The sequence below is a fragment of the Homo sapiens genome, chromosome 1, assembly GCF_000001405.40.
Source record: "Homo sapiens chromosome 1, GRCh38.p14 Primary Assembly".
NCBI classification, from domain to species: Eukaryota; Metazoa; Chordata; class Mammalia; order Primates; family Hominidae; genus Homo; species Homo sapiens.
The window spans coordinates 76,459,425-76,487,037 of record NC_000001.11 but is presented as its reverse complement, the minus strand read 5'-3'; the positions used below and the strand labels follow the sequence as shown (position 1 = coordinate 76,487,037).

The 27,613-nt window shown below is 37.9% G+C and overlaps 1 protein-coding gene across 15 annotated transcripts in view, besides 1 other annotated feature; it reads right to left on the bottom strand.

The window, feature by feature from the left end:
• The window catches only part of ST6GALNAC3 (ST6 N-acetylgalactosaminide alpha-2,6-sialyltransferase 3), a 562,594-nt gene that overhangs the window by 150,302 nt on the left and 384,679 nt on the right, over window positions 1–27,613 (bottom strand). The gene's annotated exons all lie outside the window — the stretch shown is intronic.
• Window positions 21,653–22,852: an enhancer, noted in NCBI's record as "CDK7 strongly-dependent group 2 enhancer chr1:76929871-76931070 (GRCh37/hg19 assembly coordinates)". NCBI's record gives its function as "activates an origin of replication core promoter dependent on BRD2, BRD4, P300/CBP, MED14 and CDK7 cofactors, with strong dependence on CDK7, by STARR-seq in HCT116 cells {active_cell/tissue: HCT116}" and the evidence as "EXISTENCE:reporter gene assay evidence [ECO:0000049][PMID:35650434]".

Sequence of the window (27,613 nt, the reverse complement as noted above, 5' to 3'; positions counted from 1 at the left end):
TCTTAAAGAGAAGAATTTTCAATCCAGAATTTCATATCCAGCCAAACTAAGCTTCACAAATGAAGGAGAAATAAAATCCTTTACAGACAAGCAAATGCTGAGAGATTTTGTCACCACCAGGCCTGCCCTAAAAGAGCTCCTGAAGGAAGCACTAAACATGGAAAGGAACAACCGGTACGAGCCACTGCAGAAACATGCCAAATTGTAAAGACCATCGAGGCTAGGAAGAAACTGCATCAACTAACGAGCAAAATAACCAGCTAACATCATAATGACAGGATCAAATTCACACATAACAATATTAACCTTAAATGTAAATGGGCTAAATGCCCCAATTAAAAGACACAGACTGGCAAATTGGATAAAGAGTCAAGACTCACCAGTGTGCTGTATTCAGGAGATCCATCTCACATGCAGAGACACATATAGGCTCAAAATAAAGGGATGGCAGAAGATCTATCAAGCAAAGGGAAAACAAAAAAAAGGCAAGGGTTGCAATCTTAGTCTCTGATAAAACAGACTTTAAACCAACAAAGACGAAAAGAGACAAAGAAGGCCATTACATAATGGTAAAGGGATCAATTCAACAAGAAGAGCTAACTATCCTAAATATATATGCACCCAATACAGGAGCACCCAGATTCATAAAGCAAGTCCTTAGAGACCTACAAAGAGACTTAGACTCCCACACAATAATAATGGGAGACTTTAACACCCCACTGTCAACATTAGACAGATCAATGAGACAGAAGGTTAACAAGGATATCCAGGAATTGAACTCAGCTCTGCACCAAGCAGACCTAATAGACATCTACAGAAATCTCCACCCCAAATCAACAAAATATACATTCTTCTCATCACCACATCGCACTTATTCCAAAATTGACCACATAGTTGGAAGTAAAGCACTCCTTAGCAAATGTAAAAGAACAGAAATTATAACAAACTGTCTCTCAGATCACAGTGCAATCAAACCAGAACTCAGGATTAAGAAACTCACTCAAAACTGCTCAACTACATGGAAACTGAACAACCTGCTCCTGAATGACTACTGGGTGCATAACAAAATGAAGGCAGAAATAAAGATGTTCTTTGAAACCAATGAGAACAAAGACACAACATACCAGAATCTCTGGGACACGTTCAAAGCAGTGTGTAGAGGGAAATTTATAGTACTAAATGTCCACAAGAGAAAGCAGGAAAGATCTAAAATGGACACCCTAACATCACAATTAAAAGAACTACAGAAGCTAGAGCAAACACATTCAAAAGCTAGCAGAAGGCAAGAAATAGCTAAGATCAGAGAAGAACTGAAGGAGATAGAGACACAAAAAACCCTTCAAAAAAATCAATGAATCCAGGAGCTAGTTTTTTGAAAGGATCAACAAAATTGATAGATCACTAGCAAGACTAATAAAGAAGAAAACAGAGAAGAATCAAATAGACACAATAAAAAATCATAAAGGGGATATCACCACTGATCCCACAGAAATACAAACAACCATCAGAGAATATTATAAACACCTCTATGCAAATAAACTAGAAAATCTAGAAGAAATGGATAAATTCCTGGACACATACATCCTCCCAAGACTAAACCAGGAAGAAGTTGAATCCCTGAATAGACCAATAACAGGCTCTGAAATTGAGGCAATAATTAATAGCCTACCAACCAAAAAAAGTCCAGGACCAGATGGATTCACAGCCTAATTCTACCAGAGGTACAAGGAGGAGCTGGTACCATTCCTTCTGAAACTATTCCAATCAATAGAAAAAGAGGGAAACCTCCCTAACTCATTTTATGAGGCCAGCATCATCCTGATACCAAAGCCTGGTAGACACACAACAAAAAAAGAGAATTTTAGACCAATATCCCTGATGAACATCGATGCAAAAATCCTCAGTAAAATACTGGCAAACCGAATCCAGCAGCACATCAAAAAGCTTATCCACCATGATCAAGTGGGCTTCTTCCCTGGGATGCAAGGCTGGTTTGACGTATGCAAATCAATAAACGTAATCCAGCATATAAATAGAGCCAAAGACAACTACCACATGGTTATCTCAATAGATGCAGAAAAGGCCTTTGACGAAATTCAACAGCCTTTCATGCTAAAAACTCTCAATAAATTAAGTATTGATGGGATGTATCTCAAAATAATAAGAGCTATTTATGACAAACCCACAGCCAATATCATACTGAATGGGCAAAAACTGGAAGCATTCCCTTTGAAAACTGGCACAAGACAGGGATGCGTCTCTCACCACTCCTATTCAGTATAGTGTTGGAAGTTCTGGCCAGGGCATTCAGGCAGGAGAAAGAAAGAAAGGGTATTCAGTTAGGAAAAGAGGAAGTCAAATTGTCCCTGTTTGCAGATGACATGATTGTATATTTAGAAAACCCCATTGTCTCAGCCCAAAATCTCCTTAAGCTGATAAGAAACATCAGCAAAGTCTCAGGATACAAAATCAATGTGCAAAAATCACAAGCATTCTTATACACCAATAACAGACAAACAGAGAGCCAAATCATGAGTGAACTCCCATTCACAATTGCTTCAAAGAGAATAAAATACCTAGAAATCCAACTTACAAGGGATGTGAAGGACCTCTTCAAGGAGAACTACAAACCACTGCTCAACGAAATAAAAGAGGACACAAACAAATGGAAGAACATTCCATGCTCATGGATAGGAAGAATCAATATTGTGAAAATGGCCATACTGCCCAAGGTAATTTATAGATTCAATGCCATCCCCATTAAGCTACAAATGACTTTCTTCACAGAATTGGAAAAAACTACTTTAAAGTTCATATGGAACCAAAAAAGAGCCCACATTGCCAAGTCAATCCTAAGCCAAAAGAACAAAGCTGGAGGCATCATGCTACCTGACTTCAAACTCTGCTACAAGGCTACAGTAACCAAAACAGCATGGTACTGGTACCAAAACAGACATATAGACTAATGGAACAGAAGAGAGCCCTCAGAAATAATACCACACATTTACAACCATCTGATCTTTGACAAACCTGACAAAAACAAGAAATGGGGAAAGGATTCCCTATTTAATAAATGGTGCTGGGAAAGCTGGCTAGCCGTATGTAGAAAGCTGAAACTGGATGCCTTCCTTGCACCGTATACAAAAATTAATTCAAGATGGATTGAAGACTTAAATGTTAGACCTAAAACCATAAAAACCCTGGAAGAAAACTTAGGCAATACCATTCAGGCCATAGGCATGGGCAAGGACTTCATGTCTAAAACACAAAGAGCAATGGCAACAAAAGCCAAAACTGACAAATAGGATCTAATTAAACTAAAGAGCTTCTGCACAGCAAAAGAAACTACCATCAGAGTGAACAGGCAACCTACAGAATGGAAGAAAATTTTTGCAATCTACTTATCTGAAAAAGGGCTAATATCCAGAATCTACAAAGAACTCAAATTTACAAGAAAAAAACAAACAACCCCATCAAAAAGTGGGCAAAGGATATGAACAGACACTTCTCAAAAGAAGACACTTATGCAGCCAACAGACACATGAAAAAATGCTCATCATCACTGGCCATCAGAGAAATGTAAATCAAAGCCACAATGAGATACCATCTCACACCAGTTAGAATGGCAATCATTAAAAAATCAGGAAAGAACAAGTGCTGGAGAGGATGTGGAGAAATAGGAACACTTTTACACTGTTGGTGGGACTGTAAACTAGTTCAACCATTGTGGAAGACAGTATGGCGATTCTTCAGGGATCTAGAACTAGAAATACCATTTGACCCAGCCATCCCATTACTGGGTATATACCCGAAGGATTACAAATCATGCTGCTATAAAGACACATGCACACGTATGTTTATTGCGGCACTATTCACAACAGCAAAGACTTGGAACCAACCCAAATGTCCATCAGTGATAGACTGGATTAAGAAAATGTGGCACATATACACCATGGAACAATATGCAGCCATAAAAAGGATAAGTTCATGTCCTTTGTAGGGACATGGATGAAGCTGGAAACTATCATTCTCAGCAAACTGTCGCAAGGACAAAAAACCAAACACCACATGTTCTCACTCATAGGTGGGAATTGAACAATGAGAACAGATGGACACAGGAAGGGGAACATCACACACCCGGGCCTCTGGTGGGGTGGGGGGAGGGGGGAGGGATAGCATTAGGAGATATAACTAATGTAAATGATGAGTTAATGGGTGCAGCACACCAGCATGGCACATGTATACATATGTAACAAACCTGCACATTGTGCACATGTGCCCTAGAATTTAAAGTATAATAATAATAATAAAAATAAAAGAAAAGGCAGTAGCATAGTTGAGCAATTAAGAACAGAGGCTTGGGAGTCTGGGTGACTCTTGTCAAGTTATTCAACTTCTCTGAACCTCAGTTTCCTCATGGGTAAAAATGCTACAGTAAAAGTGCCTCATTGGAGGGCTTTTATTAAAAATTGTTAAAAATTGTTGTATTAAATGCAACAATGCCTGTGGAGGACTTGGCCCAGTGCCTTGCCCACAGGGAGCCCTGGGTAAAGTGAGTTATTTGACATTATCATTCCCATCTTTTCTGTTCTGCTTCCCAGTGAATTACACACTTTGTTGTACTTACCACAAATGTTGTGGTGTTAAAAATACTCCTAGTTTGTGAAGCCACTTAATACGGGTATGTGAACGATCTCTTCTTTTTTTTGTCTTCCTTTTAATCAGTGTTATTGTTAACAACTCAGAAGCAACACAGTAATTATGACTCTGAAAGGAATGAAATCTCAGGGGCTCATAACCTTTCAGAAAATGAAAGATCTCTTGGGCTGAAATTCTGAATCTTGGCTTTTACTGCTAAGATGAAGTGCATGTGTGTGTGTGTGTGTGTGTGTGTGTGTAAAGAAAATTTGTTAAAATTCTCTTTGAGAAATTTCTAATTCATTGGAGCATAAAAAGGTGTGTCTCATCTCCTAAAGGAAATTCTGTGTGCCTTTTTCAGTGCATGAATATCTCAATAAGCAGCTTGATTTTGAAATGTGAAACTTGCCACAGAACTTGGTTTTTGGGTAGGACAAATGCCTTTGATTTGTTTGAAGAAATTTGATTTGGAAATAGCCAAGTGATTAGTTGTCGAGACTAGGGCTTTGAAGTCACAGAGTATGGAGTTCTATTATGGGCCCTAGTGGAGCCCCAGACATTTGCATGTAAAATATTTCTAGAACTTTTGCATATGCTTAGATATTAAAATAAGCATGCCTAATGCATTTATAAGATCTCATCTGTCACATACACAATACACTTTAAAATGCTACCCAATGAGGAAACATCATCTTGTTGTTTAACCTTAATCAAATAGGAGAAAGAACACATAGTGCTGATGAACTATGATTGTTAAAGTCTTAAATGCATGGTTGTATTTAATTCTGTACATTGCACATTTGGGATACTGTTAAATAATAGCTCTTATGAGATCTCCATTTGAAAGAAACTCCAGAATGTGGAGCTGAACCAAAGAGAGTCAAGAATCATTGAAGCAAAATATAGAAGTCTAAAAATGACCTTGAGAGGTTATAACATCCAATTGCTACTTAAAGTTACAGACTTGTGGGTTGTTAGGGTTGGGGAGACCCAAGGGAGATCACCTACTCTAAACCATTCATTTAGCAAATCAGGAAACTGGGGTTCAAGTTAGAGTTTGTTGAAACCTTATTTGTACTTTTCTTTCAGACTTTCAAAAAAGAAAATTCTCCAGTTTCTCCTAGCAACATATTCTAGTGCTTAATCATCAGGAAATTGCAGCTACCTTAATTCCCTCCAATTAGGCCTATTTTCTTGATGAATGTGGATTTAAAATAATAGCACATCCTACATCTTTGTAAGTGACTAATGCTGGAAAATGACACTATGGCCAAATGTTAGAAATGGAAAATAATTAATTCAAAGATCAGAAAGCTCAGAAGGGACCTAACTAGAGATTTTCAATAGATACACAGTTACTGTATGATGATGCAAGGTCAGGAGGGTTTGAAGTATGTGGTCTGCTCCTGAATTACAACTCTGTCCCTTACAAACTGTGGAAATGAGCCAATTACTTATCTTCTCTAAGTCTCTATTTCTTCATGGATAATAGCAATGGAAACTAGTGGAATGATGCTTTTAAAAAAAGGATCAGAGGAGAGTCTAGCCCATTCAAATACTCAATATATGGCATTTTGATTGTGGTTGATATTACTGCTATATACAATATTTTCAGAGTAATAAGGAGAGTGATTACTTATTATTATTACCTCTATCATCTCTGTCATATATGTTATTTAAGATATATATTAATACCTACATAACATTTACTGCTAAAAGAGAGTTCAAAGATCTAATATTTGGGGCAGGGTTGAGGGCAGTCCTACAACTGATGATGAAAGGATCTTTATCTACTTTCTTCCTTGGAGATCATTAAGGATGATAGCAGCTAGAGGCACTATGTACCCCTACAGGAGACTGAACTAGGTGACATTTCCATGTCATTCAAATCTAGGATTTCCTTACTTTTATCTATCTAACATCATTTTCAAATTCCATCGTATTTTCCTAGTTTCATGTGGCATTAGCTCATGTTTACAGTTAAAGGAAACTTAAAATCAGATAAGGAAAGTTGCACGTATAAGGTTTATGTCCAATCTCAAGATCTAGTTATAGGAAATAGCTATTATTTTAACCTTTTTTCAAAAATGCAGGAGATAACTCTTGCTTGTTATCACTGGAGATTCTAATTTATCTGGGAAAAATGAATTTCAAATGATTATTGATAGTGATAACTCTTATGCAAATCTATTTCAGTTCAGTAGTTGAATATTAATTTGCACTATAATAAAAAGCAAATCCTTTAAGTTCTTTTCTCATCATTTAAAACAAATTGATGTCACAACATGACCAGTAAAGAAAAATAATCTTTCTCTATTATTTCCATTTGTTAGTTTCACACATTTAATTACAGACGTGGGAGCTGTCAATTCTGTTGCCTTTATCAACCAGTAGCTATAGATAACTTGACTACTTTCAGGTCAGTACATTGTATTTAAAAAATGTACATATTTTTTAAAGATTATTTGCTTTTTATTTTTTTGTTTTTGTTTTTGATTTTTTTTACAGCTTATAAATCTTTTAAGTTTAGCAAATCTTAATTACTTTTTTTAAATGTAAATTTGTAATGTGTAGGTTGACCAGTATAATGATAAATTTGGGTAATAAGGAGTTGCTATGATTTGAATATGTCCCCCAAAGTTCATCTGTTGGAAACTTAATCCTCAATGCAACAGGGATGAGAGGTGAGACCTTTAAGGGGCAGTACAATCATAAGGGCTCTGTTTTCAGGAATGGATTAATACCGTTGCTAGGGAAATGAGTTATCATGGGAGTGTGTTTCTGATAAAAGGATGAGTTTGGCCCCCTTCTATCCCACCCTTGCGCATGTTCTCTCTACTCCGTTTGATGGCTTCCGCCATGTTATGACATGGCAAGAAGGCCCTCACAAGATACCACCAGCATGCTCTTGGACTTCTCAGCCTCCAGAACCATAACCCAAATATATTTCTGTTCATCATAAGTCACGCAGCCTGATCATTATAAATTACCCAGTCAGTATTCTGTTATAGCAGCATAAAATGAACCAAGACAGGAGTTGACACATACACACTCAGGGGAATCTTTACAGGCTGAGAGGTAACCAAGATCTCATTTAATTGTATGAGGCTATGTGAGGTTTGAGGAAAAGGGAACAGATTTTATTTTGTCTGTTTCCATATTCCAATGACCCTCCCTTCCACAAGTTACTTACTGGAGTAACCTCTGTGAAGATACATGTAGTTCAAAATAGCCTCTTCTTTTGTGGAGTGGAAAGTATTTAGTTCTGTTACATGTCTCTATAATACCAGGTTAAGCATACTTACAGTGTTCTAGGAAGACTCTTAGAAATTAATAAGGCAGAGCATGGTGGGTTACGCCTGTAATCCCAGCACTTTGGGAGGCCAAGGTGGGCAGATCACAAGGTCAGGAGATCGAGACCATCCTGTCTAACACAGTGAAACCCCGTCTCTACTAAAAATACAAAAAAATTAGCCGGGCGTGGTGGCGGGCACCTGTGGTCCCAGCTACTCAGGAGGCTGAGGCAGGAGAATGGCATGAACCCAGGAGGCAGAGCTTACAGTGAGCCAAGATCGAGCCACTGCACTCCAGCCTGGGAGACAGAGTGAGACTTCATCTCAAAAAAAAAAAAAAAAAAAAGAATTAATAAACTAGGGGAAGGAATACAGTCACGAATCTGACCATAGAGAAGGTCAATTAAAGAAAAATATCTGAAAACACAAGACTGGAAAAAATAGTAGTACTAGGGGTATCTTTAGAGCAGGAAAGCCAGATCATTTTCTCTTGTGGGTAATAAAAACAAATTTTCTGTCTGAATGGGAGTTAGAAATACTGGGCCTCTATGACAAGGAACTTGACTTCAGTGAGGAATTGAAGTCTCCCTAGAAATTAGCTACAGGAAATCAACCAGAACAGAAAAGCCTGATACACCAAACACAGGATAAACATTGGTTCAATCTGGGAGTCAACAGAAATCCATCAGAAAACAAACCAGGAGGAACTCCAGAAAACAAAAGGATATGTTTGCGAACGTTCAGGACAGGTAGTCCACCATACAGTAGAGTAACTTCTCTGTCCAAACAAAATAACCTTTGACTGCCATAATATAATAAAGATGGCAACTGCAAGGTGAGTGAGGCAGCCTGAGTCTAAATAGGCTGAGACTTAACTTAAAGATCATCATGTGGGCTAAAGGGAAATTAGTCCAAGACCAGGCAAACAGCAGAGAATCAGATGAGATTAGGAGATGCAACACACAGGACTGTGCATGTTCATGAGACCTGGAGGAAGGTAGAAATGAGTGAGCTATTCTCCCCAGTAAGGAGCAGGTCCTACATTCAAGAAGCACTCACAGCTCCCTTCTCACCAGTCCTTGCTACTCCCCTTCCAAAGAGGACCTTGACATGGATTAGACTGGTTTAAAGACATTTTTTTTCTGATCACAGGCCCATAGGTTTCACAATACTGAGCAAAAGTGATCGAGAACAGAGCCCATGAAAGAGTAAGATCCTTGGAGGCACCTCTTCAGAGCAAGTTATGGAGTAAAATGAGCAAAGACTTCTGTGTCTTCAGTACTTAGAACTGTGTCTGGCATATGACAGATACTCACTAAATCTGTATTGAGTGGGTAAATGACTGAATGAATTGGTGAGAGGAGGCTGGACAGTGTGCTCTCCCTTGGTACAACCCTTGCCCTGAGAATACACAGAGTGAAGAGCCCCAAGAATGCAGGGAGAGGCAGACCAGTCTAGCTCTGTTCTGGGCACAGGGACAAATGTGCTTGGGCTTTCGTGATCTTGAGCTGCTTCTTCCTTGACAAGGTGCTCTTTCTGAGCCAGCCATCCCTCATGACTGGATTGGTGAGATGCCAGAAGTCAGGCCCCAGTGCAGGCTTAGGGTGATGGGAGCAAAGGAAGCTGCTTGACCAAATTTGCTCCAGGATCTACATTCTGCTAAGACTGACCCCAACCAAAAGGAACTCTGTGGCCTGGCTCACAGAAGACCTGTTTAGGGCCTGGGGCCAGGACCTCAGCTGAGAGGCTCCTTTGCCTGACCTTGTGTTCTCAGGGCATTAAGAATGTGGTCAATGGAAAATTGGAAGATTCAGAGTGTGAGTCAGGTCTCCATATGTCTTTTTAAACACATAATATGGTATTCACCAAAAAAAAAAATGCTGGATGAAAAGATAAGAATGTGATCTAGTCTCCAGTTATCCAAGGATAAATATTTCAAAGTACTTTATATGTTTTAAAATTGTTTCTTCTTTTTCTTTATCTTTGTAGTCAGTGAAAAATAGAGGGAAATTCAGGAAAACAGAGTAAAGGGGGAAAAGATGCCACAGGTATCTCTATGGAAGCAACTTGGGACATGAGTCAGAGAGACAAGACTAACCTGGATCACCACTTCCAGGAAGATATTTCACTCCTGGGTCCACAGAGAGTCAGATGCCAAGGCACAACACAGGCTGAAAGAAACACTAGCTGCTGGTCTGGCTTTCCCTCCCAACACTGATAGGAAAATGTCTGTAGAAGACCTGCTCATGAAGGGCTATTCAAGCTACTTGTACACAACATGAGTAGAGCTGAGGGTGGGCGATGGTCCGGCTGACCAGCTGCTCATTTTCATAAAGGGCAGCACAATTTTCAGTTGAAGGTTTTAATGGCAGCTTATGCCTGATGCCATAAAGCCCTGTATTCAAACTGCTCCTCTGAGGAAGAGAAAAAAATTCTGCAAAGCACAAGGATATGGTTCAGAACTAATGTGCTGAATGGTCCCCAGTCCTCAAAATCATACCTAACCTCATTGCACTGCAATGAAAAACAGTTCTATTCCATCAAATAAAATGATCAATGGTCTCATTTCATCCCAGAAAATGTCTGAATCAGAAAAAGAATCACTTAAATGTTATTTACTTAATGCATTTTCTCTCTCTTTTAAAAAATACTTACTGGCATAAGCACTCTAGTAATAAACAAGACAAATTTATACTAGAGCAGGGGTCAGCAAACTACAGTCTATGAGGCAAATCCCACCAATAGCCTGTTTTTGTATGAGCTAGGAATAGTTTTTACACATTTAAAAGGGTTGTAAGAAATAACAAAGAAGTATGTGATAGAGATCGTATGTGGCCTGCAAAGCTAAAATATTTACTGTCTGGTCCTTCATAGAAAGTTTGCCTTCTGCATTAGAACATTGTTCATTTTCTGACATCCAGAATTATGAAGAAAAAAAATAAGTAGCCAGTATGTCAGTTTCGGTTTGCTTGAAGTTTTATAAAAATTCCGACCCAAATGCCCATCAATGATAGACTGGATAAGGAAAATGTGGCACATATACACCATGAAATACTATGCAGCCATAAAAAAGGATGAGTTCATTTCCTTTGCAGGGACATGGATGAAGCTGGAAATCGTCATTCTCAGCAAACTAACACAAGAACAGAAAACCAAACACCGCATGTTCTCACCTATAAGTGGGAGTTGAACAATGAGAACAGAAGGACACAGTGAGGGGAACATCACACAGCGGGGCCTGTCGGGGGCTGGGGGCTAAGGGAGGGACAGCATTAGGAGAAATACCTAATGTAGATGATGGGTTGATGGGTGCAGCAAACCACCATGCCACGTGTATGCCTATGTGGCAGGTCTGCAAGTTCTGCACATGTATCCCAGAGATAAAAGTAGAATAAAAAATAAATAAAATAATTTTTAAAAATTCTGTGAAACAACAACATTTGTACCCTAGGAGAGAAATCTTAATGACACTTGTAAATTTTAAAATCATCTGCTGTTACATAATATAATATTACACATTTGTTACATTTTAATCCTTGACTAAAATGCAGTTGGCCCAAGTTTCTTATTGTAAACATTCCTGGAAAATAGTCTCAATGATAAGCCAAATATGTGAAAGTCCCAAATTACTAATTCCAATGACTATAGTTACCACTTAGTAACTTGTGCCCTTACCAGACTAAGTGCTTTTCATACATATTCTGCTTTACTCTTCAAAACAACCCCAGTATACAGCATTCTCCCTATTTTACAGCTGAAGTGACTGAGGTTTTTAGGAGTTGATATTGTATCCAGGGTCTCACAGTTAGTAAGTGATGGGACAAGGACCTAAACTCAGTTCTTGCTGACCACAGAGCGTAAGCCGCTACACTACACTGTAGCCTCTTTAAACTACACTGTCTCCCTTTTAAAGAGACACTATCTTTTATTTTTTGCTCTTCTTGCAAATATTGCACAACTTGGTGAGTGGGAAGTAGCAATCCTGACTGCCAGGTGAAACCTCGCCACCTCAGCATTCCCAGCTTCCTCCCTATGCACACACGGAACAAAAGTAGCACCATTTTGAAGGTTCTAAGATCCCATAAATGGAAAGCATCTCTTATCCTTCCATTGTGATTTAAAAAGCTGAGGTTAGGGTTTCTTATTTTCATTTGGTGCTATTTAAAGGGAGGACTCTTGAATGACGATAATTTTAGTTGAGCGTGTATGTTGCTTTTCTTATTTTTACATAAGCAGTGAAGCTTCCAAGAGGTGCAACTAAAATAAGGTGCAATCCCACAGGATGCGAGTTGGCTTTTTCTCTTCACAAGAGTCCTCTCCCTCTCCTCTCTTTCTCTCTTCCGCCTTCTCTTGACATCTCTACCTTTCCTACTCAATATAGGAGTTAGAAGGAAATTAGAAAACACCCTTTAGGCTGGAACAACAGGGAAGTAGAGCTGACTGCATCTTTTTGTTTGAAACAAAAACAGTTAATAGCTATTCTAATCACCTGACTCCATCCTTTGCTTCTGGTCTGTATCTCCAGCTGCTTAGGAGTGTTTTACATAGAAGTTGTGGTATCACATCAAGAAATAACAACTGCCAATTGGACTTATCTTCCCCCAAAATCCAGTTCTTTATCTAGACCATATTGCTGTTCACAATCTTATTTTCCTAGAAACAGAGTGTCATAGTAATCTTTATTTCTCTTTCTCCTTTGTCCCAGATCCAATCATGAGGTCCCGCTGAACCTTGCCACCTACTGCTCTCCCACATTTTCCTCTACCTTTCTCTCTATACTTTCCAGCTCATTGCCTGACATCTGGATTATGCCAGTGGTCTTGTAATTTGTCTCTCTGCTTTGAGGCTCTTTCTTTTCATGCCCTATTGCAGCATAATAAAGCTCTCAAAACTATTCTGCTTAAAGTGACAGTCCCCATGTTTTTGCTCACAATTCTGCATTGTGGGGAGGCTCTATGGCAATGGTTTGTCTCTGTGCCACATGTGTTGACTGAGGCAAGCTGGTCCTACTAACATGTCCAATGTCTCTGTTGGGGTGATTGAACTCGTTGATGCTGTCTCACTGTCTCACCCTATCTCTTTCTATGGTTTTTCATCCCCTGGGTCTCTGTCTACCTGGCCTTTCTCTCTGGCAGGCCAGGGAAATTAAAGCTTTTTTTTTTCTTGTTAGCTCAGGATTCTAACATGGCAAAAATGAAAAGTGCAATGTATCTTAAGGTTTAGGCACAGAAGTCACACTGTGCTACTTTTGCCTTATCCTGGTTAAACTAATTCCAAGCCTGGCTCAGATTCAATAGGAGGAAATGTAGACTCCACCTCTTGATGGGAAGAGTGATGAAATAACATTGCAAAAGAGTATGCAGGAAAGGAGGGCTTTTCATCTGATCATCACAAGATAAAATCCGTATCACACCATGTATGTTTCTACATTAATGGAATGTCTACTAAAGAATAACATGATAAGCACAATAAAATGTGACTTTCCCATCTATAACTATTCTCAAGGATGCATTAGGTGGAATAGAGGCAGGATATAATTCAACTCTGAAAGTCTACCATCCCAATAGCACTGCAAATGTATAGGAAACAGAAGATAATTTAATAACTCAAGAAAGGTATGAATATAATCAATCATTTATTTGTGGTAAAAATATTTTTTAAGTTCAAGCTGTACACTGCAGACCACAAAAATTTTCAAATGGTTCATCTCAGATTTGTCACCACCTAGAAATGTCCCACCTGTGGAAGCAAATGCCAGTGTCTCACTGTGTGAGCACAATTTCTTATCATACCTGACTTCTCAATCCTTTGGTTAGACTATACATTCTGGCTAGTGTCATCGGGTCTCTAGGAGTTACTGCTGTGTGACTTCTCCTTCATTTATGAGTTCTACTCTATTCCTCACTCTGAAACCTCTTGTCTCCCATCAGATGAGCTTGTTTCTATTTCACAGAGACAGTAAGCTGTTAGGGTTCAATCCTTTCAACTCTCTACTCCCCACCCACAAAGACATGCATTCTTAGCCTTTCCTCCTTATTACCTCCACTTTAGCCTCAGCCTTAGAGAACAAGAAGCCCCTTCTATCCAAGATTTATCCATCCATCTATTCACCTCTTCTCTGAATTCCATCCTCACTCGCCTTTCAGCACTATTACTCCATCAATTAATCCTTCTTCCCCCATTTGTAATCTGTCACTCTCCGAGAGCCACTTCTTTTCCCCCAGAATATAAAATAATCACCTTTCACCTAATTCCTGGCCTGTATCTACCTCTGGCCTCGTTTTTCTCTCCAATTTTCATAATTAAGCTTCAAAAGTAGTCTCAACTTGCTGTCTTCGCACGTGCACCAAAAACAACAGCTAATTTTTACCGAGTACTTATAATGAAACTGGCATTGTTCTAAGCATCTTATCCACGTGAACTCATTTACTACTCATAACAACCTTGAGATAGTTCTATTTTTATTCCCATTTTATAGAGGAAAAGATTGAGGCAGGGAGAGTGAGCGCTTTGGTAACATGCCTATTGTCAGCAGCTAGTGAGTAGCAGAGTCTGGGTTTTAGCTTGGGTGGTCCCTTTCCGGAGCTCACATCTCACTCACCAGACTACTGAGTCAACTGTTCATCCACTGTCATCTGGCTTCTGCCTTCACCACTTCCCTAAAATTGTTCTCACACAGATCACCAAGGCCATTCTAGTTGTCAGTGGCAATTGACAGCTATTGGCATTCATCTAACTTGGTTGAAAAGTTATTCATGAAGAGAAACGACAAAAGAGGAAAACTGAAAAGAAAAGAACAGAAAAGAAAAAAGAGAGAGAAAGGCTTCCAATCTCTTGTTCAGAATAGAAAGACAACATGGAAGCCTTGTCCTTGTCCAGCATGGATGAGATCAAGTAAATGAATCTTTTCTTTTACCCATTTATGCTTTACATATTTTAGACAAAATTTCTACATGGAAACACCTAAAATGTCGGCCATTTCAAACAAGAAACTCACAAATGAAGGCAAGATGTTCTATTGTACTTGAAAGTGACTCTACAAATCAATGCTTACCTCCTTAAATGTCATGTTTGCTAGGGCCATTGAATGCTTTAACTCATGAACACCTGCACAGACCATGGGCCAGCAAAGCTCTTTGGCCCTTAGAAGCACTTTATAAAACCCAGTATTTTAGCAATGGCTCAATAGCATAGGCATTTGCAATTGCTGAAAATGTCCCTGTTGTTAAAAAAAAAAAAGGGGACCCAAATCCTGCTCAACTTAGAAAGTAGAACTTAGACATTCTTGTAAAAACTGTTAGGAAGAGCAAAATGACAAGAGGTTTCAAAAATGATGCCTAAAGACTGAAGAATGTAAAACAAAAGGAAATGGCTCATTCTTAGATATCTGGATATTTGAAATTTCCATCACATTTAGAGGCCTAGCAAATGTTTATTGAATGCCTAACACATATATGTCACCATACTATGTGCAGAGAGAGATTTGAAAGAAAATAGGGCCCTACTCTCTTAGGTTTGAAGTGCTAGTGCTCAATAAATGTGCAAATTGGATTAACATGTATTTATCCAGTATAAATATGTTGTTTGCCCACTATGGGTAGGTAACTCATTGCCTTTAAGAATCCCGGCTTCACTGAGCTTATCGCTTACTGGGAATAAAAGACAAGAGCACCAAGAACACTGATACAAAGTAGAAAAACATATTTTTAAGCACTCAGAAAAACAATAAGAACATAGTAAGCATTTGGCACTACTTGTTAAACAAACAGTAAGTGCTTTAAGATAGGTTCATGTTAAGTGCTATAGACAGTAGATGAAGGAAATCAGTGGGTGTTTTATGAAGACAGTATCTGAACTACACCTTAACGGTATTCAGATGGTCAGTGATTAGCATGGAGGAAGACATTCCAGGACACTCACAGAGGCAGGAAAATCCAAGGATATGTAATCAGTCACTTTTGCCAGGATTGAGAGGTAGATTGAAGAAAGTTAACCAAGGAGTTAATATTTTAATCAATAGATGATAAAGAACCAGAAACATTTTTGAAGAAGGGTAGGACAATATTAGAAATATGACGTAAGAAAAATTGACCACAGGGTATTATTAACAAAGATCAGGTGGTGAGATTCAGAGAGGGAAAGAGATCAAGTCATGTTTGTCTTTGTATCAACAATCTGTAAAGGACCTGGCTACCAGTAAGCACAGTGAATATCTGTCATGTGCCTACAACATCCAATTTCTACTTCTGGTAAAATCACCTCAGCATAAGAATTCCCGCCCTGTGCTCAACCCAGTTTATGTGGAGCTAATCCCACTTCCAGTAGAGAACTGTGACCCAGGTATTCTCTTGGCCTCAGTGATGGCCTCTTGGAATGGACAGGTGACCTCATTTGGACTAAAGAGATCAAGCCTTGAGTTTTTATCCAAACTCCAGGGGAAAAGAAACCCTGGATTTTTCCCCCCTATTGGATTTGGGGAACCATGAGGGAAAAATCTGTTTGAAAAGGTTTTTTCAACAGGGAGACAACACAGGAGAAAATGTATTTCATGTTTGTGACATCACTTTCTAGTTCTTCTAATTTATTTTAACTTGCCACTGAAAAGGAACCCACCTGATAAAATAAGAGTTTCATTTAATGAATAAACAGAAGCATGAGCAATTGGTTTTATATACAGAAACACATGCAGTGGGAGTAGATCCCAGTCTTCAGCTAGCCAGTCTACCATATCATTTCCCATTCCCAGATGTCTACAATCCATTAGCTTCATGTGGAATCTTTTGCAACCATAAGCTGTGATTCATTTCCACCCAAAAATATTATGATCTATGTTTCTATCAAGTCAGTTACAGAGATTCACAGTGCTAGGCACAGAATGGCAAAGCAATAAATCCTTTGATTATTCTGTTGCCGAACCTAGATTTTAGAAAGAAAATTCAGGAAAAATTAAAAAAAAATTATATCATTATTGTTAACAGGTCATCAGTGTTGGCCCTGGTGTATCAATAGGGAACAGAAAGTAAACTTTCACCATTTTCTTCAAGATGGTGACACCTTGGTCTTCAATTAAAGTCATAATACTAATGATATTTATTTAGTAGTTGAAGTTTTACTGTATTAGAATTGCTAGTTACCAAAAAACAAATATAGTTTCACTGCAAGTAAAAAGTGATTAATACCCTCCATAGCACTTAGCTGATCCTTGTAACCCCTGGGCAAATACTAGAGGAGCAAGAGGGGCCATTTTCATTTGTGCTCATCTGAAGCAATGGCTCCATTAATACAAAAGATCAAATATCCATCAGAACATTTAAAGCTTGTTTCATTCTAGAAGTTTACTACAAACTGGTCACAACCACTCACTATTCCCGTGGTTGCATTACATTGCCAAGACTTTGGCTGCTCTGAAATAAAGTAACTGCTCACCTCTGCCTTACCTGTCATTAGACTGGTTGGCTTTATACATCATTCATAAGCCTCCTGGTGTTATTCATTGTGAATCTTTCTGGCTCAAGTCACATTCGATCAGCATACCAAGAAACAACTGTTCCAGCCAGTAACAAAACTCTTATAAGAAGAGAAATGATTTGAAACATATTCTGGTTTCAGCTTACCTTAATACTTTTAACTGGATTAGCTGTCAGGGATATGTCTCTTTGTGAATTACTTGATAAATTTGTGACTTTTCTCCCTCAGGGTTCTGAATTTAATTCATTCAATATTTACTAAACACCTACACTAGGCAAGACATTGTGCTAGGTCCTGGAGCAATGCTATGTTCTGTACTATTAGATATCGTCCCTCAAATCCACAAGGAGGTAACAAAAATGTAAATGATGATGGCATGAAGGAGGAAACAGGAGGGTGTGTGTTGTGTTAGGATCACAATAAATAATTAGGGAAAAAGAAGTCTTTCAACAACAGTCTTGTGTTAGAAAAACATCATTTTTGGCTAACTCCTAGGCTAAGCCATTACAACACATAATCAGAGGAATTTAAAATAAACATATGCAAGAATTGTTTTCTGCACAAATAACATTATTTTAATCCAGCTAATAATATTATAATAATCAATTGATTACCCTTTGGTGAGGCTTTCTCTTTTAAACCACCAAGGGAGAAAAAACAAATGAGTCCACATCAACAGGTTCAGTGGCCAAGGAAAGAAATTATTTTTTCCTGCATGACTTCAGAGTATTTTTCTCTTTCCCTCCTTCCTTCCATTCACATGTCCTACCTTCTTTCCTCTACTTCATAAGTATTTACCTAAAACCAATAAAAAGTTGAGGAGAAATTCTCATAGTTTTTGCTATTGCCAAATTATATTGATTTGAAATCACTTATAATGATTACACTGGCCCATCACACACTGGACAGGGAATCCCTTAGTCCCTTAGCCTCAATTGAGATAATGGGAGTGTAGATCCTCAAGTATTACAAGCAAAGACAAAATCTTTTGGTAAAAAAATGAGTAAGAACAAGAACAAACCCCTAACTAAAATCCTCCATTTATCAGTGCATCGAAAGGAGTGAGTGAAGGCCGCCTTGAGCATTTGCATTATTTAATTAACTTCAGGGCTGCCATATTTAGTGATGAGAAGGTGACAGATTCGAGGCCAATCTCTTTCAATATATGTTTGAGCTTCACAAAGAAAAATTACAGCATTCTCGTTTTCAGGATTTTCTATTTGCAAAGGTCAAGCCTAAAGAATTCTTTGTTTCTTATCATGTGAATGCAGAAAGCTAACAACAGACTCTTCAATGTGTCCCAAGTAGCTACTTAAATCACAGGCACTGAAGTATTTAGAGGAAATGTTTGTGTCTATTTGCTAATCAGTATCTAAGTGGGGGTCTTTTCTGTTTTCTGTCTGCTGCTTTAATTTTTTCAGGATTTTATGAACTCAAAACATTTTACATATGGGCAAACACTAAGCTAGACCCACCCTCACTCACTTGCCTATCTTTGCAGAATTGAAAGGTAGGGGGATGGAAGAAAGAAAGAAAAGAAGGAGAGAAGGAAGAATTGATTGATTCTGGTATATATGACACCCTAATTTTAGCAAAAAAAAAATTTTAGAAAAAAAGAAAATATAAGAGAGTAAAGAAGAGCTTTCATATACATAAATACCAATATTTGGCACTTAAATGCAAGCTCCTCACTGGCGTTACATTAAAACGAAATGTCCTTACCTGAGTACTGCTTTAGACTTTCATTCCATTTATACAGTGAAAATTGTATTTCATTTTATTGCAATTTATATGCTGCCACTTTTTAAATTATTTCAGGCAATAGCTCATTCATTATGTATTTGGGTACCCATACAGTTTAAGAAAAAATAATTGCAAAAAATTTTTCCTAATTATTTTAGTAATGCACAGTATAGGAGAAAAAAAATTGAAGAATATGGACAGGAATAGAGAATTAATTGTCTATTATTCCAACATCCAGATAACCACTATTGATAAGTTTACAACTTTTTAATATTGTATACATAATTTTTATCTCCCTTTTTCACATAACTTTACTGCAGACACTTAATCAGATTAATATTAATATTAATATTTTTCTACTTTACTCTCAATGCCTACTTAATAATTCATCATCTGACTATACCATGCTTTATTTAACTAATCCCCAGTTGTTGGGCATTTAGGTTATTTCCAAAAGTTTTCTTTTTTCCCTATGCAATGTTTATAGATCTGATTCAAGCATAGCAGGGATGGATCACCTATATTCACATTTTCTTCTGTCCTATGGCTCTTTGGGATAGAGCCCCTTCCAAAAAGCCTACTTACGCCACTCATATCAGGACATTTCACGGTTCATGGCCACAAGCTACACTGCTTCATCATGTTAAAGGAATGACTTCTCTCTAAATTATCTGATGAGATCTTCTTACTCCAAGTGCCAACATTAAAAATCCCCAAAAGAACAAGAATGGGAGGTTTCATTATTCTGGAAGAATGTCTCTCTCTTTTGTTCATTTATTTGGTTTCTTTTCTTTTTTTGTAAATTAGATCATATAAATGCCAATTCTCCGAATCCTTGACACTTTCAGGTCTCAAAGATTCATACTTGAACAACTAAAACATCTTAAGGAAAGTGCGAATAAAAACATCTTTTCATTAATATTAATCTTCACAGTCAAGTAGTTTTTAGATCTTATTGTTTAATACAAAAATTATAAAGCTAAAATATCATTTAACAGCTAAATCTGAACAATTTTAGCGAAGTCTGCTTCTTATCTATATGCAATAATTTTATATGCTTATAATTAGTACTTTTTACTGAGCTCTATATCACAAAATTTTAAACGTTGCCAATTAGACTTCATGCAAATAACCCATTACAGACTTTTAAAATTGACTAAGAGTCTCCATTGTTGAGCACGTAGTTGTTTCTAACTGTTCACTAGTATAAAAAATTCTGCAGTGAACATCTTAGCCTTCTGAATTCTTCTAAATTACTCCTTACACAAAATTCTCAGAAGTGTAATTGTAGTATCAAAGTATATTAACACTTGATGTATTGCCAAAATACTTTCCAAAGCAATTATATTGCTACCAGTAGTATATGAGTCCAGTCACTTCACCAACATTGTAGCAGCAGTATTGCACTTTAAAAATGCTTTCTAATTTGACAGATGTAAAATGGCAATTGCTCATGGTTTTTAATCTATGTATTTCCATGGATTGCTCTCTCAGGAACCCTAGGGAGCTATGTGCAGGATTCTCTGTGGCACTGTGTGTGAACTGGTAGTCAGAATAAGAAGATATATAAATAAAATGGTTCACTCAAGAGCAATTTCAGTTCATTGAGACATCTCTCCTCTTCTAAATAAAAGATTATCTGGGGAGCTGATACAAGTTCATATCTCCTTATATCTGAGACTATGTCATCATCACAATGATTTAACCCAACTATTTGAAACTGAAGGTCAGTTTTTCTGGAGACTACAATGTTCAACCTAGATTTATTTGAGATTAAGGCTATTACAAACCATGACTGGGAGAAATGTTTGTTATGACACAATTTATTTTTATATGAGCATCCTTTATACCAAGAGTCATAAAACATTTTACAGTGATACATAAGCTAATGGTCCTTGTAGAATGCTGATTTTTCAATGTTTATTTAACTTGCGATGAAAAATTGGTTGTTTTATTTTCTGTCAGGTAACAGCCAACTTTCCAACAATTCTGTTAAAGAAAATAATCTGAGAGATTAAAAAAGACCATAGACCCAGAACGTCATGATTTATCCTTTCCTAATGCCTCACAGAAAACCAAGAAAATGCAACATTGTGGAGAAAATAAAAGGAGAGAGAAATAATGAGGAAAAAAAATCAGCCCTCACCAACAGGAAAATCTGTCTACCAATTACATTTAAAAAAAAAATGAAAAATACTATCCCATTCTTTCCTAGTCAGTTTGCAACCCTTCAGCTGTGCTCAGTGTTTGGCTAATATGACATTTAAATGACAAAGTAAGACAATTGTAGTTCTACCTTCTCAAATACAGCAACTGTTCCCCAAGGAACTAGAAAGAAGAATCAATAGCTATAGTGTTGGATGATTTAGGCCTGTGGTATTATTTTCATAAATTAAATTTATAACTGGCCAGATTGCTTTCTTTAGCTTTTTCAGAGAAGTAAAACATCATAACTTTCCATTGAGACGACACTGACAGTTTTCAGATGGACATCTTAGCTTTCTCTTTTCTTTTAGTCCCAGTCCTTAACCTACTGTGAAAATGCTTGTTTCCAATGGAATAATGTGCAAGCAGGGTTCATCTAAAACTGCACAGAAGTGACTCAGCCAAGGCAATGGGTAAGCATTTTGTTCTCCAAGGACACAAGTTCAAAATCTGGAATCAGAAGAAAGGTTAATTGGGCCATGCAGCGAATGACTCAATATCTGACATGCAGAAAATTCTATTTTTGATTGTTAGTCACTTGGGGGTTCCCCAGGTCCTTTGCTCATATGCTGTTCATTTATTCTTCCTCCTTTTCCCTCAAATTCCATGCCCTCTACTCTGTTTCTATTGGAAGAGAAGGAGATGAATCCCAATCAGATTTTGTTTTTAATTTATAGAACGCCTGATTTTGAAAAAAGAAAGTTTGAAGTTTTAATAATCTTAAACCTGATGCCAAACATGACTTTTGGCAACATTGAAGGCAAAAAGAAAGAGATTTGGGGAGATGAAATAGTGGGAGGAATACTTCTGAGTTTGATGGAGCTGGGTTCAAATCATAGCTCTGGAAATAACCAGCTGTGCTTCCCTGGGAAAGTCACCTACATTCTTTTACTCCCAGCTTCTCTGTCTATAAAGTGGAATTAAGAATGACCTCGTAGGGTAATTGTAATTGTTAAATATAATGATAATTTAAAGATTCTAGTAGGATGCTTGTGAAGTAGAATGCCTGATATACAGAGGCAATGAATAAATGACCACTTACTCAGCTATTGCTGTTGCCAGGGGCTTAAATGATTATCTCATCCTTTTTAATTCTTTTCTGAGAACAGATGGCAACACTTAAAATAGGACTCACAAAGTGGGGACTGGTGGTCAACTTGTCAGCAAAGTGGTAAGTTCTCCTACTATTCTGTAAGACTATTCCTCCCGGGATACCTACCTCCATCCAGCCTGTAACAAAGCCTAGTGAACTAGGTAATTAACAATGAAGGCTCTGACCTATTGATGGGTCATGATCAACATCACCCACAGTTATAAATAGTTATTGAGCTTTCCAAGTATCAATTTCATAGAGCTAACACATATTTGTAAGAACCAGAGGTTGTGGTTTTAAATAACTTTCCATATTGATTAATAAGATGGCTTCCTGGAAACGTACAAATACGTAAGTCTTTTGAAATCATGGCAGAAAATTAGCTAAGGCATAAGTCAAGAGCACTGAAAGGACCTAAAGGAAAAAGTTCAGAGTAAAGTCGTGTTCAGTGAGGTACTAAGTCAGTGTCAAAAGGGTGATTTAGGAGTTTGTGGTGAGGGTATAGCAAAACCACAAGGGATGGCACAGTACCCTATAGGGGAAAGGAGGGCAAGCTAGGGGAGGGAGCAGTCACTAGAACATGGAAACAGAAAGAACAGTGTGGAGAGGACACCTGAATGAAGCTGTGACTTTTAGTAGAGAGACAGAGCCAACCTGGGTGACCTTGCAAGGAGGGAGCCGGGAGAACACATATGCTAACCTCTCCATTCTCCTTCCCTCTAGTTCCTGCTAGTGCTCCCCCTGGTTAAACCTAACCAGATGCCAGACAGCAAGGGAGCCCTCGATTGCAGCCCATATTGACCAGCCTCACAGGTCAAAGGTGGGGAAAGGCCCAGAATGAGTTGGGAGGGCAAACGAAGGATCTTCAGTCTACCCGTAGACCCAAGCAAGATGAATCCAAACCCTGCGGTAGGAAAGCTCCTCGACCAGAAGACTCTTCAGAGCAGAAAGTGAATCTCATTCATTTTTTATAACCCCAGGGTACAACAATTGGCTAGCTCAGAGTAAGCACTCAACAAATATTCATTTCAGGAAATGCAGTATTGCTTGGTATTCACTTTAGTATTAGATTTTTTAAGAAGAGCATTTTCAATTTGCTGCTCAACCGATCAAAAGCTTGGCTCTGCAGAGTCATAGAGAAATACGAAAATAGACAAAGTGACAAAAGTTTGGCATGTGAAGTCAAAACTGTCTTATCTCCAATGAGCTGTGCAAGGCAGCTCTGCACATGAATGCATTCCACAGCAAAGTCTGGCTCCTTCACAGCAAGTTGAAGTTGAAATCCTACATGAATGCCACTGACTGATATAAATGTAGCCCCCGCAATTTACCTAAAGCAGCGGGACTTTTAGGTGAACATTTGGAGAAGCAAATTTAAAGACGAGTACAAAATAAAATAATTCTGCAAACCTCAAAGTTAAGCTCCCACTATTAAAATTTTTAGAACTTTCTATGTGTTTTTCCTATTAAATTCTCTGCAGCATTTATACTTTAACATCATTAAAATAATTGCACTGGGATTAAATTTTCTAAACTTTGGTGACAGTTTTATAATAGCTTTTACAAAATATAAGACTTTAGGAACTACTTTAGCAGAGCAAGGGGTGTTTGACCACAAGTCACACACTGGGACGTCATTTAGGACAGTGTTTTTCCAACAATAAGGAATATACTTCAGAGTACAATCTGGTACACAGCAGATATGTAATTGGTCACAATGTACAATTTTTTAAAATGTGGATAGTGGTTGTTGCAATACACTCCCCTAATGAGCATCCCTGCAGCATTTGGCCTTCTTAAAACATGGCTGCACGTATGATATTTAATCAGTGCTAGTGATACTTACATGTTCTCTATCTATCCATCTTAAACAAATACTGTGTCTATGTGCCTAAATGTCTTTCACTGTCTTAAATGATGTCCTAGTGTGTGACTTGTGGTCAAACAAGTGCTAGTGATACATATATGTCCTCTATTTATCTATCCATCTGAAACAAATACTGTGTCTTTCTATGTGCCATGCATGCTGAGAAGTTGTATTCTTTTCTAGTCTCTTCATTTAAAAAAAAAATGCTGGCTGCCACCCTCAAAATTAATTTCAAGACCTACTAATGGGTAAGATCTCACACTTTTAAAAGGCTGTATGTGGCTTGGATCACAGATAAGTGCCAACTGTAGAAAATAAGAATGCACAAGGCAGTCTAAAAAAGGAATTATGGGGACTGAACAAAGTAAAGGGAAAAATAATGGAATGATTTACCCAGGGACTTATGAAAATGGCTGGGCCCATTTTATATTAAGAGTTGGGGGAGAGAGCAGGAAACAACCTATTAATTCACGTATGTACACATTTTTTTTTTTTACCATTAATTCCACTATTCATTCCACAAACTTTGAACTCCTGTTCTGTGTTGAGTCTTGAAGATACAGAGGTAAACAACACAGCATCATTGCTCTCAAGAAGTTTACAGGCTGGGGGGATGGGGACAGGTTTGGAGGGAGTTGCCATATCGATGACAACAGCTGCAGAAGAAGCACGTACAGGGTGCCAAGGAAACAGGAGGCCATGTGGTCAGGCTGACTAGGAAAGTCAGACACACTGCCCAGAGGAGACCATGCTGAAGACATGCTATGCACCATCAAGACCCTGCCCAGCTTGCTTTTTCAGAACTGTGGTCAGTTTACCTAAGTCTGGATCCTTATTCTGCTTTTTACTGTCTCACTAACCAAACAACTACTTAAGCCCCAGTCTTTCCATCTGTAAAATGAGAGGGTAATAACAATCACCTTGTGGGGTTTCAATAGGATTAAGTAAAACAATGTACCTAGGGAGCCTAGCATACCATCAGGAGTATAACACGTGGTCACTGCCACTACAACACTTACTGTCAACATCAGGTATATCATTATGCTTCCCCTCCCTCAAAGCTGATGACAAGAATTCCCTTGCAAAATGGTATCCCAAGTTAATAGAATTTTGAGGCTGGGTCATCCTGAGCCTGTAACAAGCATGGCAGATGCCCATGCTGAGACAGAAACTTCAGCCCAAAGTCTCTGGAGAAGAAGGAGCTGATATAAAGGCTCCAGCACGAAGCACCATTCTTCCAAAGTGAGTGTCTTCTTCTGAAGTTTTAACACTGTCATCTGAAGTGTTTAATTGTATGTTTTTAAATAATTTTATGCTTTTGAGGCTTAAGGGCACAGGGTATAATTACTTAGAGATGTATAAAATAGGGAGTGAAGAGCTATCAAACTCCAAAGTCTGCCACGGGCAACCACCAGGGGAGAAACTACTTAAATATAAAACACAGCTTATTAAAGTTGTACTAAGATTCAAATGATAACTGTTCACTATGTGTTTTGCATAGTTAGAGGATTCTGTGAAGGATGTGAACTACCAGTAGATACAGAGTATCATAAAGAACAATTTCACCGTGAGGAGAATAAAGTGGAATCAGATTAAATAAAACAATGACCAATCTGCACTCCCAGGATTCCATTTCTGCCTCAGGCTTTTCTAAGTTGGATCTTTTTGAACTATGAATTTACTTCAATAAATAGGCCATTCAAATGAAATGACCACAGGCATTACTCCTACTCACCTTACTCAAGGCCTACAGAAGCCTAAACCAACCATTGTAAAATCTGCCACCATTCCTCTCTTTACCCATTTATCCAAAATACTTAATAAAATCAGAAATTCTTAGTCTCCCACATAGTCACTGGATTTACAAAGGAATTCCTCCATGTTATAAGGCTAAATGTTTCCACTGAGAATGATTTTGGAAGAGAATGTGAAGAAAAAAATAAATGCTCTTTGAAAGACATCCATTTCTATGTATTAAATCAAATAAATGATAGATAACAGGCTGCTGTTTTGGGTTATAATCGTGTTACTGCTTAGAGCAATTGTTAATGCAAATAAAGAATAATAAAGTCAGAGTCATTCGGCAATTGACTTTGATGGCAAATCCTGACTCCTGGAAACACACAGTGATGAAACTTTACAGATGCAACAGTGTAACTTGATTCTGCGGTGTCTCACCTATTATCCACAATCAAAGGGCAGCTTATTTCTTGACAGGTGAAACCAGATAACCAATGATCAAAGGAAAAGAAAGGGTAAGGGACCCTCTTAGTGAATAGTGGACAAAGAATTTAGCAAAATTTATCCTTGAGACTTTCCCAAGTTGTGTGATTTCCAATAAAACAGCCAACAAGTAGCTTTTATTTTGTCTATAGATTTATGCTTGAAACACCACGGCACAAAGACAAACGACCCAATTTAAAAATGGGCAAAAGACTTGACATATCTCTAAAGATATATAAATGGTCAACAAGCGCTTGAAAAAATGCTCAATGTCATTAGTCATTAGGAAAATGAAAACAAAAACCACAATGAGATTCTACCTCTCACTGATTAGTATGGCTATTTAAAAAAATGAAAAATAACAAGGGTTGGCAAGAATGTGAAGAAATTTGAACCTTCAACGTTGCTAGTAGGAATATAAAATGATTCAATCACTGTAGAAAGCAATTTGACAGATCTTCAATAAATTAAACATAGACTTACTGTATCCATCAATTCTACTCCTAAGTATTCCCAAAAGAACTGAAAACAGGTATTCAAGTAAACACCTGTACAAGAATATGCATAACAACGCTACTCACAGTAGCCAAAAGAGAAATCATCAAACATCTATCAACTGATGATTGAATAAACAAAATGAGTTATATCCATACAATGGAATATTATTCAGTCATAAAAATGAATGAAGTACTGATATTTGCTAAAACACAAACTTTGAAAAATCATGCATGCTAAGTGAAAGAATCTAGACTCAAAGTCCACTTATTGTATGATTCCATTGATGTGAAATATCCAGAATAGGCAGACACTGCTAATTTTCTTCTCCACTCCCCTGGCAATTTTCACTGTTCTGTACAACAACAAGGCACAAGTAGGTTTACACATTTGTAATAAGCTACTCCCTCAACAGCCCATAGTCAATTCTATTCTTTTTTTTTTTTTTTGAGATGGAGTCTTGCTCTGTCGCCCAGGCTGGAGTGCAGTGGAGCAATCTCCACTCACTGCAAGCTCTGCCTCCTGGATTCATGCCATTCTCCTACCTCAGCCTCCCGAGTAGCTGGGACTACAGGTGCCCGCCACCAC